The sequence below is a fragment of the Homo sapiens genome, chromosome 1, assembly GCF_000001405.40.
Source record: "Homo sapiens chromosome 1, GRCh38.p14 Primary Assembly".
In the NCBI taxonomy this organism is placed as follows: domain Eukaryota; kingdom Metazoa; phylum Chordata; class Mammalia; order Primates; family Hominidae; genus Homo; species Homo sapiens.
This window is the reverse complement of record NC_000001.11, coordinates 227,883,070-227,900,852: the sequence shown is the minus strand read 5'-3', so window position 1 is coordinate 227,900,852 and position 17,783 is coordinate 227,883,070. Positions and strand designations below refer to the sequence as shown.

At 60.9% G+C, this 17,783-nt stretch overlaps 4 annotated features.

The window, feature by feature from the left end:
- Positions 802–1,302: an enhancer, noted in NCBI's record as "H3K4me1 hESC enhancer chr1:228087252-228087752 (GRCh37/hg19 assembly coordinates)". NCBI's record gives its function as "activates a minimal SCP1, AML or CMV promoter by ChIP-STARR-seq in naive H9 embryonic stem cells {active_cell/tissue: H9 hESC(naive)}" and the evidence as "EXISTENCE:reporter gene assay evidence [ECO:0000049][PMID:30033119]".
- Positions 4,065–4,911: an enhancer, noted in NCBI's record as "H3K27ac-H3K4me1 hESC enhancer chr1:228083643-228084489 (GRCh37/hg19 assembly coordinates)". NCBI's record gives its function as "activates a minimal SCP1, AML or CMV promoter by ChIP-STARR-seq in primed H9 embryonic stem cells {active_cell/tissue: H9 hESC(primed)}" and the evidence as "EXISTENCE:reporter gene assay evidence [ECO:0000049][PMID:30033119]".
- Positions 13,835–14,431: an enhancer, noted in NCBI's record as "H3K27ac-H3K4me1 hESC enhancer chr1:228074123-228074719 (GRCh37/hg19 assembly coordinates)". NCBI's record gives its function as "activates a minimal SCP1, AML or CMV promoter by ChIP-STARR-seq in primed H9 embryonic stem cells {active_cell/tissue: H9 hESC(primed)}" and the evidence as "EXISTENCE:reporter gene assay evidence [ECO:0000049][PMID:30033119]".
- Positions 14,432–15,027: an enhancer, noted in NCBI's record as "H3K27ac-H3K4me1 hESC enhancer chr1:228073527-228074122 (GRCh37/hg19 assembly coordinates)". NCBI's record gives its function as "activates a minimal SCP1, AML or CMV promoter by ChIP-STARR-seq in primed H9 embryonic stem cells {active_cell/tissue: H9 hESC(primed)}" and the evidence as "EXISTENCE:reporter gene assay evidence [ECO:0000049][PMID:30033119]".

The following is a 17,783-nucleotide window of genomic DNA, read 5'->3' as shown; positions in this document are numbered from 1 at the left end:
AGGACCTGGAAGGGACACGTGGCCCAGGTCCCTGCATTGATATGGGAGTGCTGTGGAGAGACAGGACGTGGAGGGGACATGTGGCCCAGGTCCCCCCATGGACACGGGAATGCCATGGAGGGACGGGATGTGGAGGAGACGTGTGGCCCAGGTCCCCCTGTGGACATGGGAATGCTGTGGAAGGACGGGATGTGGAGAGGACATGTGGCCCAGGTCCCGCCATGGACACGGGAATGTCGTGGAGGGATGGGACGTGGAGGGGACGCATGGCCCAGGTCCCCCTGTAGACATAGGAATGCTGTGGAGGGATGGGATGTGGAGGGGATGTGTGGCCCACTTCCCCCCCCCCTCCCCGTGGACATGGGGACACTGTAGAAAGACAGAACACTGAGGGGACATGTGGCCCAGGTCACCTCAAGGACATGGGGACCCTGTGGAGACGGGACACTGATATTGTCTGTCCCTATGTGTCTATCTCACTGTCCTGTCTCTCCTGCTTCCATGGCCACCAGCCTCTGTGGGCTGACACTGAGGGAGGGACACTGAGCATGGCTCCTGTGGGTCTGTGGGCCTGTGCTCTGGTCTGGCCGCACGCTGTTGGTGGGCTGTGGCACTAGGCTGGTGCCCTGCCTGCAGTCTGTTGTGACTGTGACGGAGTCATGTGTTTCAAGGCCATTTTCAGGTGGGAGGCGTTCCGGGGTCTGGTCCCAGCATGGTGGGGCATAGGCCAGTGACCTAGGGCTGTGGGGAGGCTGTGGAAGTTGGGGAAGTGCGTGGAAAAGAGGTTCAGGCTGGGCCGTCTGGCGGAGTTGTACCCCGGAGGGGCTTCTCTCCGTCCCACAGCCAAGGTGGGTGCGTGGGCCCTGCAGCTTCAGAGAGTTTTCCTTGCACGAGTTCCTGTGGGACTGCAGGCCGCCTGCGCCCCGCCTCCTACCCCTGGCCCAAGCACATTCTCCGCCCTGGATGAAGGAACTTCCAACAGCAGAGCAGCATGGGACGCCCCTGCACCCACCACTGCCCTCACACAGCCAGAGGAAAACAGCTGAACATAGACACTAGCGGGAGGGACATGCCGGGAGACAGACAGAGACAGGGAGAGGAAGAGATAGGGAGAGGAAAGGAGAGAGACGGAGAAAGATGGAGGGAGACAGAGAGAGAGAGATTGAGAGACAGAGGGGAAGATAGAGACAGAGGGGGGAAGCAGAGAGACAGAGACAGAGGGAGACAGAGAGTGGCAGAGAGGTAAGACAGAGAGACAGAAACAGAGAGACAGACTGAAAGAGAGAGCCGCAAAGCAGACTGGGGGCTGCCGAGCCTGGCGTGAGCACCTGCACCTGCCACTTTGCAAGGGAAGAAGAGGGGACAGAGGGCAGGGGTGCCTAGGACGTGACTTTGGGGAGGGCAGGGGTGAACCAGTGGCATCTAGGGGAGGGCCTGTCACCCAGGGGCTGGCGGGGGGTAGCTCTCCCGAGGGCAGCAGAAGGTCCTCAGCCTGGCCCAGTGCCCTGCACTTCTGCCCTGTGCCCCCTGTCTGGCCCCCTGTGTCAGCGGCCAGGCAGGGTGGGTACAGCCTGTGACCCTGCTGTCATACGCCTGTTGGAGCTACCCCATCCCTTCCTCTCATCCTGGTCCCTCCCCCTGCTCTGGCCACTCCCCTGTGGTTCTCTGAGACCCCCCTCTCCGGCTCTCCCACCTGCACCCCCTGGCCCACTGTCACTTGACCTATGTTAGCTGTGAGAGGTGGCCTGTGTGCCTAAGCCTGCGCTTGAGTGTGCTGCATGAGAACGTGTGTGTGCAGGAGCACCTGTGTCAGGAGACAGAAGCACTTACCTGGGGACTGAAATATCTGAAGGGACTGGGAGGTGCAGAGGGTGGGGCTGGCAAGGACAGTGGGGTCTGCAGAGCTGGGACAAGGATGGGCTTCTGTGCCCAGCCTCCCGAGCCAAGCTTGGAGCTTTGTGGTGTCCCCCATGGTAGAAACCAGTCCCATCAACTTCCCAGGATTCATCCACCCACCTCCCACTATGACCCCCACCCCACCCACACCACCTGCCTGACTCGCCAGGCAGCCGTCCAGGGATCCACTCCTTCCTCTGCCTCTGTCCACCTGTCCATCCTCTCGTTGCGTGTGTCTGCCTAGGGGCCTGGGCCTTGTTCACTGTGGGCCCCAGGAAGCTGTCAGTGCGTGGGCTGCCCACAGGCAGGGCGTCCTCTGCCATGGGATTCTCAGTGGTCTCATGTGAGGTTTCAAGGTTCTGTGTGTGACTTCCTGGTCTGTGTGTGGCTGTGTGACTGTGTGTGTGTCCGTCCGTGTGTGCCAAGTGTGCACCACCCCACGTATGCTTCATAGAAATTCCAAAGGAGGGCAATGGGGTGGGGAAACTGAGGCACCTTTTTTTTTTTTTTTTTTTTTTACAATGTGTGAGATCCCTGGGCCGGTGGTGGTCAGCTCTCTTACCTCCTGCCACCCACCTCAGAGTCGAGAGGTGAGGGAGGAGACCCATGGGTGTACATGGGGGCTATGGCTGAAGGAGGCAGGTGGGACCCTCCTAGTGCTGGCTGGGGGACTGGGCCACAGGCAGGGGCCTTGAATCACTGGGAGGATGAGACCCTGGGGATACTCCTCAGAAAAGGAAACGGGGGCTTGAGCTGGGCCCTGGCCTGTTAGCACCGCTGACCCTGGTGGTCAGATATCTGCTGAAGGGACAAATGCATTCACTCCTCACTGGCCGGGTGCCATTCGTTTGTTCATTCATTCAGCCATTCACTCATTTTCTCCTTAGTTCATTTATCAATTCATTTGTTCCTTTGTTCAATCATATGTTCATTCATTTATTAATTTGTCCAGTAAATCATTAGTTCATTCATGCATTTGTTTGATTAATCACTAGTTCATTCATTCATTCATTCATTCATTCCTTTGTTCAATCATTTGTTCACTCATTGATTCCTTTGTTCATTCATCCAATCAGTTCAGTCACTTGTTTGTGCATTTATCCATTCATTTCTTTGTTCATTTGTCCAATCATTAGTTTATTCATTCATTAATTTGTTGAGTAAATCATTAGTTCATTCACTCATTTGTTTGATTAATCACTAGTTCATTTATTCACTCATTTGTTCAGTTAATCATTAATTTATTCATTCATTTGTTTGGTCAATCATTCGTTCATTCATCCATGCATTCTCTAGACAACCATGAGGCTGGCTGAGCCAGGCAACGGGGCTCTATCCCTGGAAACAGCCAGGTCCAGAGCCATTCAGCCTGGAGGGAGGAGACAGCCCTGTTTCCACCTCAGGCCCATCACCAGCCAGGAGCCGGTGGCCACCATCTTGGGCAGAGCTGACTTGTGGGATGGTGACCCCAGAGCCATGGGCTGTCCCTGGAGGTGGGAGCTCCCCATTGCTGGGGAGGCTACAAGAATGTCCTGTGGGTGTCAGCTGGATACAGAGTACTGGGCCTGAGCCCCATACCCCAATCCAGCTGTGGCCTGCACCAAGGGCTGAGAGCCAGTCTCAGGGCCCCTCCTCTTTGTCCTGTCTCCCTGCTCTCATCCCCACACTGCAGAACCCAGGAAATAGAGATTTCCCGCAGTGTGGCAGATGGTTTGCAGCCTGTATGTGAGGGGCTGGCAGCTCATCTCCCGGATAAGGACACTGAGGCTGTGAGGGGTGAGGGAGGACCCATGGGGCAGGGGAGGAGCTGGAGGGGACAAGTGGGACTCAGTCACCCACGTGGTCTCCCCTGGAGGAAGCGGGGGCCCAAGCCCAGTGCTGGGGGACTCTGGGTGGGGCTGTGGCCCTGTCCACCAGCCTGGCTCCCATGTTTGAGTGGCCTGGGCCTCCGAGGCTGCCCCCAAAGTCTTATGAGGGACCCTGACCCTTAGTGGTCCCCAGCAGGCCTGCTCCCAAACACAGGGCTTCTGCCTCTTGAAGCCTCCATGCACTGGGATGCCTGGGGACAGGAGCTGAGATACTGGGCAGGGGCTCTGTGTGTCCCTGTGGGCTGTTGCGAAGCCTGGCAGGTACGGGGGTGTGGGAGGGCTGGCCCATGGGCCACTGCTTTGCAGGAAGAGGAAAGGGCATTGTAACCAAAGCTTCTACCCTGTGGAAGCCTCCTGGCCCATCTGCCCTCACCCTGTCCCTGCTCATCTCTCCTGGGCACAGGCTTTAATCATGGGAACCTGGAACCACAGGCCCCTGAGGACCACACTCCGGCAGGGAACACGCTTCTCTTTGTGAACTCTTAGTCACACTGCAAAGCCCATCTCAGAGGTCCCCTCACCTGGCTCCCCTTCCCTGACTGCAGCTCTGGATGCTGAGAGCTCCCTGGATCCTCTGTCCTGGGCCTCACCCACGGCTGCCTGCCCGCGTTCCCTCCTGACTGTGGGCCCCTCCCGGGCAGGGCGGAGGCTCGAGCCCCTGCCGCATAACAGAGTCCATGAGTGACCACTCTGGGAAAAACTGACTGAGCGGATGGATGGCAGTGGGGAAGCTGAGGCTGAGAGAGGGGAGGCACCAGCTGAAGCTGCTGGGAAGAGGGAGCCGTGGTGTCAGAAGGAGTCAGAGTCTGACTCCAGCCTCCTGGCAGGCCCTTCCTCCTCACCCGAGCCTGAAGACAAACAGCTCTTTGTGCTCTTCCAAGGCCACCTGGCAGCCCAGGCCATGCTCCTGGGGTCCTGCAGGGGAGGCAGCTGGATGCTGGGTGCCTTTGCCCAGTGAGACTCCCAGCGGGGCCTGGTGCTGAGTGGCCGCCCCGGGCATGCTCTGCGAGAGGAATGCTGGCCTGTCAGATCTGGCCCTCTGCTGGAATGCAGGAAACCAGGCCGGGCCTCCTGAGCTGAGAGTGCCTGGGGGCCTGAAGCCGCTGTCCTGAGTGGCTCTCCCGACAGGCCGAGGGACCTACAGGGCCAGCACTCACCCAGAGCCCCTCCTGGGAAAGGTGCCGGAAACTGGAGCGAGCAGAGGCCCAGGAGTCCAGGCCTGGGGTGCCGGGCCCCGGGTGCTGCCTGGCTCATGGCCCCAGCGAGAACGGCCAGTGCATCTGAACTTGGAGGCGGCAGGTACACAGGGAGACGCAAGTCCTACCCTCAGGCTACTGCCAACTCGCCGCCTCCAGGACTGACCTTTGCACTTCCGTAGTTGTGTCTGATGGCTCATTTTTATTCTCATTTTTGTAGAGATGGGGTCTTGCTATGTTGCCCAGCCTGGTCTCGCCATCCTGGCCTCAAGAGATCCTCTTGCCTCAGCCTCCCAAAGTGCTGGGATTATAGGCATGAGCCACTGCACCTGGCTTACATGGTCCAATTTTATAAAGAACCTGACTTAGTCCTTTTAGGCAGAACCCCACACCCTGGATATCTGCTCACCCTCAATGACATCCGATGGGGTCCCTTATCCTCCACTGTCCCCAGGTGATGTCTGATCACCCTGCCTGCCTGCAGCAAGGACCCTGTGAGGTGGGTTTAGCCAGACCCCCCTCAGCCCTGCTGTCTCCTCTCAGTCATTCCCACACACCGACCCCATGCTGCTCCTCGGCTTCCCCACCCACTGCCCTGCTGTGTCGGGGTTCAGCCCCATCTCCCCCAAGGCCCCAAGGCAGGGGCCCACACCCACGTGATGTGCCTTGGTGCAGTCTTCCTCACTGACGTTAACACGCATCATGAGGAATTTTTTCCTCACAGAGAGCATGGCAGCAAGTCCAGGGGATGACCCCGTGTCTCCATGCTGTTGATGGGCCATCCGGTGGCAACAGGAATGCTACTGTCCTGGCTGACAGCATGATGGGTGAGTGGAAGGGTAGATGACTCTGGCTGCCATGCTAACCCTGAGTCACCAGCCTACCCAGCGTCTAGGGGCACGGTCCTGCAGCAGCCTGGCCTCAGCCCCAGCCCCTGTGCCCCATCCCCCTCCATAAGCCCGGAAGGCCTCCCACCCTCTAAGCCTGGGGGTAGATGTGTCACGGAGGTTGCTTGTGTGGGCCCCTGGACAGGTGTGAGTGTGTGCTCTCCAACCTGTCTGCCATATGACTGTGAGCACAAGCATGTGCTCCCACCTGGTCTGTGAGCAGAGAAAAGGGATCTATGTGTGTGTTTACAGCTGTGGACTCTGAAAACAGTGGCAGGAGGTGCCATGCATGGGTGTGGGTGCACCCCATGTGTACTGGGCACATGCCTGCAGGCATCATGTCTCTGGGCTCATGTATGGACACTCTGCTTCACGGGCGTGTGCATGGACACGTGTGTCATAGCACCCTGCATCTGAGTCCATGTGAAGAGCATGGACGCGTTCGTGAAAACCAAAGGTCCCAGGCGCATGCCTGCAAGCACCATGTGTCCGGGGCTTGTGTATGGACACCCTTCATGGTTGTGTGCATGTGGCATGGGCACGTGCGTGGATGCTTGCATCGTGGACACCCTGTGTCTGAGTCCATGTGAAGGGCATGGGTACGTTTGTGGACACCTTGGGTCCTGGGCACATGCCTGCAGGCACCACACATCCTGGGCTCGTGTGCGAACACCTATTGTGGTTGTGTGCTTGTGGGCTCTTGCACTGTGGACACCCTGCACCTGGGCTGGTGCACAGAGCCGTGCACAGACATCTGTGCTCCAGGGCTCTCGGGCACCCACCTTGTCCCATGCCAGTACCCAAAGGATGCAGTCACTCCGCCCCACTTGCTCCCCTTCTCCTGCGGAAACATTGAATGCAGTCCAAGAGAAACTGCCTCCAGGCAGCGTTTCTAAAGTCCAGAAGAAGAATGTCCAAGATGCCGCAGCAGATAAGTCCATTCCCTTCGCGTTGTGTTTGTGCTTTTGTTCTTGCTGCCTCCGAGTCAGGCCGTGAATGTTTGAGAATGTGGTGGATGGGTGGGGTGGAGCTGCTGGTGGCACGAGGGGCGGCCGGGACAGAAGAGCCAGTCTCTATGCTAGAAGAGGTCAGCAGGGGCAGACTTCTGGGGACACCCTACATACCCTCAGCCCCTGAGTGGTGCCTTGAGGGCCTCGGGAACCCCCTGTGCCACCCCCAAAGTCTCTGGGGGAAAGCCGAATGGAAGAAGGGAATGGTCAGGGGGCTTCCTGCAGGAGGAGGTGCTGGCCAAAGGAGGATCCCACTGGGTTTGTGGATGTCAGGCTCAGAAAGGTCATGTACCAGACGGGGACCCTCAGGGCTCAGGCCTCCCAGCTCCTGCATTCTCCTCCTCCTCAGCAAGCACTCCCCTTCCCCCAGCCACATGGGCTGGAGACCCAGCAGGGCCACTGCCCCAAACTACCCACTAGCCTGTGGGCAATGGGACGGCTCTGGGATGCAGCCAGCCCCCGAGCTAGGGGTGAGGGCAGGTCAGTGCTGGCCTCTTCTGTCCTCCCAGGTTGGTGAGCACAGCAGGCACGGACCCACAGTCAGGGCTGGGGTGTCTCTGACCTGACCGTGGCCTTCCTGTGGCATCAAACCGCAGCCTTGAAAGGGGCTGGGGGTTCCTAGGCCCTTCAAGCCTGTGGCCTTCCTCTTCCCAGACACTCCCTGTCCTGGACCTCACTCTCTCGCTGCTCCTGGGCCCTAAGGCAGAAGAACTTGAGTCTCGGAGGCCCTTTCTTGGTGGGTCAAGCATGGAAGCCCAAGAACCCTGATGGCCCTCAGGGGACTGGAGGTGGAAAAGACCCCTAGCCGTCATTGCCTGCTCTTCCCCTTGCCCCTCTTCCCTCCCCAGACCCCAAAATGTGGGTGCTGCGGTGTCGCTGGCTCAGCTCCCTGGAAAGTGCTCATGGGACACTGCCTAGAGGCCAGCCTTGGGTGGCTGCAGGGGGGAAGTGACTGGAGGGAGAGTGGGGAAGGGGCCTGGGCTGGAGGTGGTCAGCAGGGGAGATGGGGACACAGGCTTTGGGAACCAGGAGTCGTATTCAGTCTCTGGCTTGAGGGCAGGGGAGCCTCAGGGTTAGAAGATGTTTTTTCTGATCATAAACGTACTATGTGCTCTTGCGGAATTCAGAGAACCAGGAAGAAGAGAACAGTCAGGCACTTCAGCCCCACCCGAGCCCCGCCAGCCTCGTTCCTCCCACCCGCTTCCTGCGAATTCCCGGAATTCCTTCCCCATCTCCTTTCTGAGCTGGGTGGGATCCAGGGCTCTGTGCTCCCAGCGCCATCTTAGGGCCTGGCTCCACACAGGGCTACACGGCCACCAGCCCAGCTGCCCCCGTGTCTTGGGTGGAACAGCAGCTGTTGTCTGACTGCACCAAGCAATCAGGGCTGGCAGCCTGGGGGTTCCTGCAGGGCCACCTGGACACCCCAGGGGCTTCCTGACTACCCGGCACTGGGCTCCAAGAGCAGGTTGGGGGAGAGAGAGAGGAAGAGACAGAGAGACAGAGAGAGAGATAGGGAGAGACCCAGAGAGAGATAGAGGGGCAGAGACAGAGAGAGACAAGAGGCAGAGACGAGAGATAGAGTGCATGGTTGGGAGCTGGGCCCACCTTTCGTCCAGACCTGGAACCTCCCATCTCCCTGCCCACCTGCATCACAAAGGTCCACCCAGCCCTGGGGGCCTCTCCTCCCTGATGGGAGGTGAAAGCAGTGAAAGGCTGGAGACTGATGGAGGTGTTGCTGTGGCCATTTCTGCAAGCCCGGTGTCCTCATGGTCCAAACGCAGCCTCCGCCATGACCCCCAAGCTGCACCTTCAGGCCCTGCTGGCCCCACCTTTAGAAGGACTCCTCACCGTTACTACTTGAAGACAGGTAGAGATGATGTGGGTGTGTTTGTCAGGCAGCACATGCTGTTTGCTTCACTGTAACTGTAGCTCACTTGGGGGACATTCCCAGCCTCCCCACTGCTGCAGCCCAAGGTCATCACAAATTCAAGGGCTGTGCTCCCCTGGGATGAGGCCCCCATGATGACAGGGAACCCTAGAACAGCTGTAGGCTCTGGAAGGCTCTTTTGCAGCCTGTCTGTGGGACACTGCATTCCCCATTCCCTGGGGCAGAAAGCAGGTGCAGGGTAAACAGGAAGGGACACTTGGAGCCCTTGCCAGGTGGCCCTCTCTCAGAACAACCCAGGCTGCCCCACCATGCTGTGTGTCCTGAGTCCTCCAGGCCTCTATCCTAACACCACCCTGGCATCTGCCTTCTCTGTCTGACCCTGCACACTCCAACACGGGGTCCCCCCAGGGCTGAGGCCAGATGCAGCCTCCCCGACTCCCTGCCTGCCCTGGGCCACTGCGGCTGCAGCCGCCGAAATGTGTGTTATTTCACCTGCTGGATCCCAGCATTCCAGGGCTGGGCTGAGGAAGGTCATAAAAATGTTGTGGTCACCTATATATTACTTTTATGCCGGTGCTTAACACGGCGTCTTTGACACATGTGCGGGAGCCCCGTCGTAAATCAGGCATGGGGTCCCCCTTGCACCCATGCAGGGGGTGGCGGGGCCTCTAGCACATGTGCTCGGCCCCCATGGCTGCCCTCCGGGGAGCTAAGCTCCAGGGCTGGTCTGGGGTGCAGCTGCAGGCGGCCTTGCCCAGCCTCCCACGGAGCCTTCCCTGGTACAAGGAGGGAGGCCAGGCTGGGGAGTCCCAGGCCAAGCTCATGCCAACTTGGCAGGCACACGTGTGTGTGTGTGTGCTCACACGTGTGCACGGGTGTGTGTGTGAGCATCGCTTAAGCACAAGCTGGCTCTCCCATCCCCTCCTGTGCAGTCTGTGCAGCTTCTTCCGCTGCTTGGAAGGGTCAGGACGACTTTTCCCCACCTGCCCAATCTGGGCCTGGCTCCTCGGCCCCCTGGGTAGGCAGAGAAATGTATGTCATCTCCCCCAAACTCCAGGAGCACCTCTGGCTTGATCCTGGGGCTGAGGAAGCCATATAGAGTCAGAGCTCTCACCAGCTCTCTGAGCCTCAGTTTCCCCATCTGCACACAGGGTGGTCCCTGGGCTTGGGTGGCCACGGACAAGGTGGCTGAAGTGAGAGTGATCCCCTCCTTGGGTACCCTTGTCTCTGGTCAGGGACAGAGAGGTGGCTCACTGGACCTGTGGCCTCCCATGGAGGGCCTCAACAGGACACCCACGACCTCCGGCCTTCCTAACCTGCCCCGCACCTGCAGAAGGACTTTGCAGGTGTCTCCTGGATCCTATTTCTTTGTCTTGAGGTCCCACCCTCTTCTTTCTGCCCTGGAGGCCTGGAGCCTCCCCCTGGCTGGGGTGCGAGTGGATGGACAGTCCCTCTGGTGCCCCAGTGGGCACATGTAAGCACCACCCCTGGCCCTGGGATGCTGCAGCTGCACTCTCGGGGCCGTTTCCTCCCACAGCCATCAGTGTCTGGGTGTGCATGTGTGTGCCCGTATGCCTCAGTGGGCCCTGGGGCAGCTTCCCAGCAGCATAGCAGGTCACACCCATGGGTGCCCAGGAAATCATCCGCCAACAGACTTTAAGGGTATGTATTCTGGGCGCATAACCATGCACCCCCAACCCAAGTGAACTGGTTTCTGTTCAACCATTGTTTGCTGCCTCTGTGGTCGTCGTGGGTCAGGATTGGGGCCTGGCTTGGGCGGGGCATCTGCGAGGGGAATGGGCTCAAGCCCCCTCGAGTTGGGGCCAGCTGTTGGCCAGAGGCCTCGGTTTCTCTGCATGGGAATCTCTCTACGGTGCTGCTTGAGTGTCCTCATGACATGGCCAGTCCCCGGGACAACGACCGAAGCTGCAATGCCTCTGTGATGCAGCCTCAGAGGCCACGCACACCCCTTCTGCCTCTCTCTGTGGGTCCCTTGGGCCACCTCTGACCCAAGGCAAGTTAGAGTCTTCTAGAAAAAGCGTCATTTCTGCCAAGTCCTGCCCATGATGGCTGGGGGCTCTCCTTGCTGAGACTTCCAGACCCAGCATTCTGGACACAGGAACAGACACTGGGAGGCCAGGGACCCAGGGAAGGGTTCTGGAATCGTCCTGCCTTTGAGAGTCCCCTGGGTGCCTTGCAGGGTGGGATTGGTCCTTCCCTCTCTGGGGCACTCCCTCCAAGGGGCCCTAAAATTTCCGGTTGGTTCCTGCCGACCAGTTTCCTGCTTGCCCAGATGCTGTCCTGCTGTCCCGAGTAAAGACTGCTGGAAGCCTTTGGCATGGTGGAAGCCCTTCTTCCCCACACCCTCATCACTGAGACTGGGGCGGCGTGGCTGCCGGCATCCTCTGAGCCTTCCTTCTGGCTCCACAGCTCCCTCGAGAAAGGCCAGGAGGGGTCAGAGGTCCTCCCCAGAGCAGGATAAGGGGGGTTGCCCTAGGTAGCAGGGACAGTCGCTGGGAGTGGCATTTCTAGATCTGAGGGGAGAGTGGCTGGAGCATGGGGAGGGGCAGACCAGGAGGGGATGGAGGGAGGCAGTGTCCTGGGTGGCTCTGTGCAGCAGGTGGCTGCCCCCAGTGAGTGTCTGCAGCGAAGGGGAAAGTGAGGCTGGAGAGTGGCCAAGCCTCAGAGGCCACAGGGCAGCACCAGCCCCTACCTGCTCCACTCACCCCTCTCCCAGATGCATACCCTGAGCCCCTTCCCACCGTGGGTGCCACAGAGCCCCCAGAGCTACCTGGGAAGGGGTCTACAGTGGGGAGGGGAGTGGGCCACAGGGCCTCCCATGGGAGGTGCTAGGGCTGTGGTGCATGGGAGCAGCCCCCGCCCTCCCAGGCTCCTGGGTGCATGGGTAGGGCAGGGGAGTGGGGGGGTAGGGAGCGGGCAGGGCTGGTGGATAATGCTATCTGTAGCTGAGTGACAAGAGGATGGCCCTATCAGTGCTGTCGGAAGGACAGAGCTCCTCCAGGAGATAGTGGCCAGCGGTTGGTGGTGACACCTGATAATGCTGGCCTGACCAGGTCAGGGGGTGAAGAGCCAGCCCAGGACCCTCCGCCAGCTGCAGTCTTGCTCTCTGGGCTGTGGGCACCAGGATGTGGGCACCTGGGCCTTGCATGCCTGGGCCGTGGACACCTGAGCCATGCATGCCTGGCTTGTGGACATCTGAGCCTTAGATACCTGGGCTGTGGGCACCTGGGGCTTGGATACCTGGGCTGTGGACACTTGGGCTGTGGGCACCTGAGCCCTGGACACCTGATCTCTGGGCACCTGAAGCCTGGGATGCCTGAGTGCGTGTCTGGACTCGGTGGGGGTGGCAGGTCCCTGAGGCGCTGCAGGGGAGGCCGGGCTGGGCCTACCTACAGGGATTTGTTGACATTGCCTGTGTGGTGGGCAGGTAGGCGCTGAGATCAGCTCTGCAGGAAAACATAAACACCAGGGAACACCTGGGCTGTCACTTAGAGCAAGTGTTTGGGTGCTGGGAGTGCCTGTCCCATCCACCCACATCCTTGCAGTGCTGGGCACCCCTCTGGAGGGGAGGCCTGGGCCCTCACACAGGCCTGCAGGACCACATTATCCAGCACTGCAAGCCTAGTGGTGGGGGACACCTGCTCACAGAGGCCGACCCTTCTCCTACCCAACAGAAGCAGGATTCATCCTTGAGCTGCTGTGGGTTCAGGCCCCTCCCCTTCTTTGCCTGAGCATGGTCCACCGGCAGGGGTTACAGCCAAGAACAGGCACCCTGGGCCTTAGGTCCCAGGATAGTGGACCCCGTAAAGCTCCTTCGGGGCTGTGGAGGGAGGCCTGGGGGTGGCCACCATCCATCCCCTCCTAGCCTGGCCCCCACCGCCTTGGGGACCCGGTGCTTCCCTGTTTATGTGCAAAGTGTCGACGGGTCTCCAAGGCCCAGCATGAGCTCATTGGGCTCGACGCCCCCTCCCCATGAGTAGGAAGGCTGGTGGCCTGGCGAGGGGAGTTCCCGGAGGCTCCCAGCCTACAGCCCCCAGCGACACACGCATGCGCAGCACCCGCGCACACGTTTTATAAGGACATCGGAGGTGGCGTCTGCACTCCGCTCTGATGCATTTTATTAAAAAGGAAGAGGAGGGACAAAGAAAGAAAAATAAATGAGTGGCTCCCACAAGGACCACACACAGTGGCGCGGTGCAGCCCCGGGGGCAGGACCGGCCGCCTGGAAACCCTGACCCCATGGGCGGGCGGGCCACGTTAGCTGCGGTGGGGATGGGGTGAGGGGCAGACGGTGCCGCCGCCCCTGCCCAGGGCTCGACTTCGGGGTCTTAGCACGGTCTCTGGCTGCACGTTCCCCGCGCCCCGCCCGCCCTCATCACCACCTGGGTGCGCAAGGCCCTCCACGCCACGGCTGCCCTCCCCTTCCTGGACGCCCCCAGAGGGACCCCTGGAGGCCCTAAGCTCAGGGCGGGAGGGACTGGACCAGGCCAGGGAGGTGAGGGCCAAAGGGGCCCACAGCCCGGTCCCCACCGTAGACGTGAGCCTGGGAGCCCCAGCTGGGTGTCCCCTCCCCTCCCTGGTGACCCACACCACTCCGCTGACTACCTCCCCTCCCCCAGCAAGGCTGTGCACCGCGGGCGGGCCAGAAGCCAGGAAGCCCCTCTATGGGATGAAGGGGATTTGGAATCTTGGAGAGGGAGGAGTAAGGGGGCAGAATGGAGGAAGAGGGGGGGAAAAGCCCTTCTCAGGCCCCTCCCCTCGGGTGGGGTAGGGATTCGCCCCCACCCTCCCTGCCCGCGGGCCTGGCTTCCGGTTCCTTCTTCCACTCGGGGGTGGGGTCCCACCCTGCAGGGTCGGCGAAGGGGTTGGGCCCCAAGGAAGGCTGGCTGGCTGCAGCCCCGGCCCCAGTCCCCCGCCCCCTGCCCGGCCCAGGAGGGCGTCCCCAGCGCTGCTTCTGAGGGAGACAATCGCTGCGGGCTGCGTCGGAAAAAATGTTCTCATTGTGAACATAAACAGGCTGCCCGGTCTCAGCCAGATGTTCCTGGAGAATGTTTAGGATCCAGGCAGCGTATGAAATTCCCATCAAACTGTTATTAATCAGCAGGCATTTGTTGTCAACCCTGCCTGATACTCCTGGATGTCCTGGAAGGGCCTGTCCAGCCCCCCACCCCTGCAGCCAGCAGAGAGGCTCAGCGCCGGGGTGGGGGTCGGGGTCGTGGGTGGGGAGGTACCTGCGTGGGGAGGGCTGCAGCTGCCCGGTCCTGGACAGGGTGTCTGGAGCTCCCAGGGCGACCCCCAGGCTTCCCGGGCTCCCGTTCCGCCTCTCTCCACCCACCCTGTCACCGTCCGACCCAGCTGTTTCCAGGGGTTCTGGACAGCTCCGCGGTGATCTCTTTTATGGGGTGGGAGACTTGTAAAGACGCAAGAGCCCCACTTAGGAGCTGAGAAGCTTGGCTGGCTCTGCTGCTCAGGAGGGGAGCACCATAGGCCTGGGGGAAGGTGGGGGAGAGGCCTGGGGGGAACAGTCCTAGGGAGGGAGCATCCGGGGAAGGGGTCAGCGGAGAGGTCTCGGGTGGGGGAGGCTGGGCAGGGGAGAGGTCTGGGAATCCCAGGAGATCCAGGCAGCCCTATCTCTGTGACTGAGCTGGTGGGTGGGACCCTCCCACCTGGAGCCCCATGGGGGTCCCTCTGCAGGATACCCCTGGCCCCGCCTAAGCTCTTGCTGCAGCCACGGAGCCCCCCACTGTCCCCTTGGCCTCAAGCCTGCCCCAGGGCCACAGGGGAGTCCCAGCCAGTCTGTTGGACAAGGGAGGGCGCAGGGAGGGACCCCAGCTGTCTGGTGCTGACTGGCTTACAGATCATGCTGTGTTTATGCCAGCTCTGGACAGGCTGGGGCCAGGGTAGAGCCTGAGAACAAGGGACTCCCTTGCCCCCCAGCACAGTACTAGGCTTACTTCCCAAGTGGTTGGGGGACACGGGCCCCACCCCATTTTGCTCTTCCTGTAAGCAGACAGGAGTGACTGCCCACACCCCGGGGTCCAGTCCTGCCCTGACTACCCTTGTCTGTAATGGCCCAGGTTGGGTGGCCACTGGCTGCCCCCAACAGGTAAGTTCTCACAGGCTAGACTGGGCCTGCCTCCTCAGCTGGCCTCGGGCCACCATGGCTGACTCATGGCCTCTGGGTGAACAGCGGAACAGGAACAGCGTGGGATCGGCTCATGGGTTGGGTCCTGGCTGCAGTCAAAAAATGGCTTTTTACCGGGAGGGTCTGTTTTGGTCGTTAAACTACTGAGGAGAGGCCAGTAGACCTGCCTGCGAGTCTGGTGGGTGAGGAGCTGTCTATGTGATTAGCTGGGCTGCCGGCAACGTGGGCCTGTCTCACAGCCCCTGCAGGGTCACAAGGGGTGGTGAAGGGGTCCTGCTGCCCTCTCTTTACCCATCTCCCTGGGGCAGGGGCTTTGCTCTGGCCCCAAAGGTCACAGGGAGGCCATCCTGGGTGCCTAGCACTTATTAAGCACAGACAGTGTGCAGAACCCTGGCGGAGGAAGGGCGGAGTCCTGTTGTGAGGGTTGGAACCTCAGCCTGGCCTGCATCCGGACCTCCCCACCACAGGCTGCTCACCTGCAAAGGGGGGCCACACCTGCCTCTGGGGTCTCAGATTGAGACCCTATGGGACAGCTGGCCTGTGGTCTGCACACAGGCATGTATTTGAGTCTGCAGCGGTGGTGCAGACAGAGTTCTGGGCCTGCCCTGCTCACAGCAGCTGCACCCTCCGCCTGCCCTCTGCTGCACCTGGGCCCCTGAACTTCCAGGGCACAGGGAACAGGCAGCGCCCCACAGGAGGCTGGCAGGAGAGCAGGGAGGGTAGGGTGAGGAGCGGGGATGACAGAGGGAGGGGGCCTTCGGGGGTTCCCATGAAGGGGGTGGGTGGGTGAAGAGAGGGGCCTTGGGCGGCTCCCAAGGAGTAGACAGAGGGAGGACAGGAGCTTTCCAACAGAGTTGTGGGTGGGTGGGGGTCCCATGGTCCCAGGGACAAGGTGAGGAAAGGGGCTTTCAGGGGGGTCTGCAGGGAGGGGTCAGGTCTAGGTGAAGAGGCAAAGAGGTCTATCACTGGGCATGGGAGTTGGGGGGCACCAGGGCCAGTGGGCCTCTGACTCACGGATCCCCCTCCCCTCCAAATGTCCTACCCGATGCAGAGATGCCTTGAACGCCCTTGTGGGTGGGGGTCCTGCAGCCCCTCCTCTGGGCTTCCTCCTGCGGTGTGGGCGGGGGACTCTGAGACCTCCTATCTGTGCACACAGGAGTGATGGCCCCTGCAGGGAGGCCTGAACAGTGCTCACTCAGGAACAGCTAATGTACTCCTGATTCCATGCGCGGGCCCAGATGGGCAGCCCAGCCCAGGGCACCCCAGACTGGGGGTGGAGGGGTAGTGCAGCCAGCTCCCTGGGGTGCCCTTGTCCCCCTGCCCTGCCCCGCCTCTCCACACGGGCAGGACAGGAACAGGACCGGACTTGGACGAGGCTAGGCTGAGGGGGAGGGGCCAAGACTGATGCCCACGATGAACATCAAGGCCTCCAGGGGTCTCCAGGCTGCAGTGTGTCGGTCTCCCCATACCATCCTGTCCATCGGGCTACAGGTGGACCCTGTGCACACACCTTCCCAGCCTCCCCGGGGACCCACCAAGGCTCTGGTCACTTGCCCAGGTGACAGGGGCCAGGAGATGTGGGCCTGTTGCCGTGGGCTCCAAGTGGCATCCATGTGGGGATGACCTCACGACACAGCATACTACGGTCCCATCTCACAGAGGAAATGGTCCTCAGAGAGGCTAAAACAGCTTGGTGACACCCAGGTGAGGGGCAGAGGGGGATTCAGACTCAGTGGCCCCACCTCTGGCCACACTCACTCTAGACAAGACTCGCTCCCAGGAGGAGGAAGGATGAATACCAGTGGCTGCCATGTGAGCCCAGCCAGCTGGCTGGCATGCACCGAGTGTCTACAGAGACGTGGGGATGCCAAGCAGACCCCATGTGCGTGGGCAAGTGAGGCTAGGAGGGGCTGAGCAGTTAGCTGAGGCTACCTGCAGGTGGGGGTGGGCAGAGGTCCCTGGAAGTAGGGCCAGGCGGACACTCCAGATGATGGGGGTCCGGGGGTCCGTCGGGGCCAGAGCTAGGGATGGGCACACAGGGAGCTAGGGATGCGCACACAGGGAGCTAGGGATGGGCAAACAGGGAGCTAGGGATGGGCACACAGGCTCCGTGCAATTGGTACTCAGAGGACCATGAACAGAGCCAGCGCAGCTGCCCCAGCCCTGAGAACCGGAAACACTGGCTTGGGCGGCCAAGGAAACACTGGGCTTGGTTGGGCCTCTCTGGCTTGGGCTGCGAGCCCCAGCCCAGCTCCTGAGGCCTTCAGCTGGTGTCCCCAGAAGAGTCAACCAGACCTGGTGAGCCAAACTGCTTTATTCTGCTCTCCGGCTTTTCTAGCTTCTGTCCTTGAGGTTGGAGTACCCCATGAGGACTCTGATTCTTGATTTAATGGATCTGTGGGAAAGGGGTGGTCTTGCTTCACCATCAGGAGCCAGAGAGCCCTCCAGAGACCCCAGTGACCACACCTGAAGCCAAGGCCTGGACACCCGTGCTGGCCCAGCCAGTCAGTGTGCCTCAACCTCTGACCTCCACGTCACTGGGCCTGGTGGGTGAGCCCCTTCCCCTTGGCCCCACCTCTCTGCTCAGGGCAAGAACCCCCCAGCCTCGCCTCACCCCTTCACTCGGGGTGAGACCCCCAGCCTGGCCCTGCAGGCTCACGTGGAAAAGCAGCAGGCTGCAGTGAACGCCCAGTGGTGGCTGAGGAGAGCGTCCCCGCAGGTGGGCAGGTGGGGTGACCCAGGAACTGCAGGCTGACCTGCTGCAGCCACCTGGCCAGAAGTGCATCCAAGCCCCCATGGCCTTGTGTTTTCGGTGCATGGATGCATGCTGGGGGCAGGAGGAGGGAGACACAAGGGAGATGCCTGGCAGCAC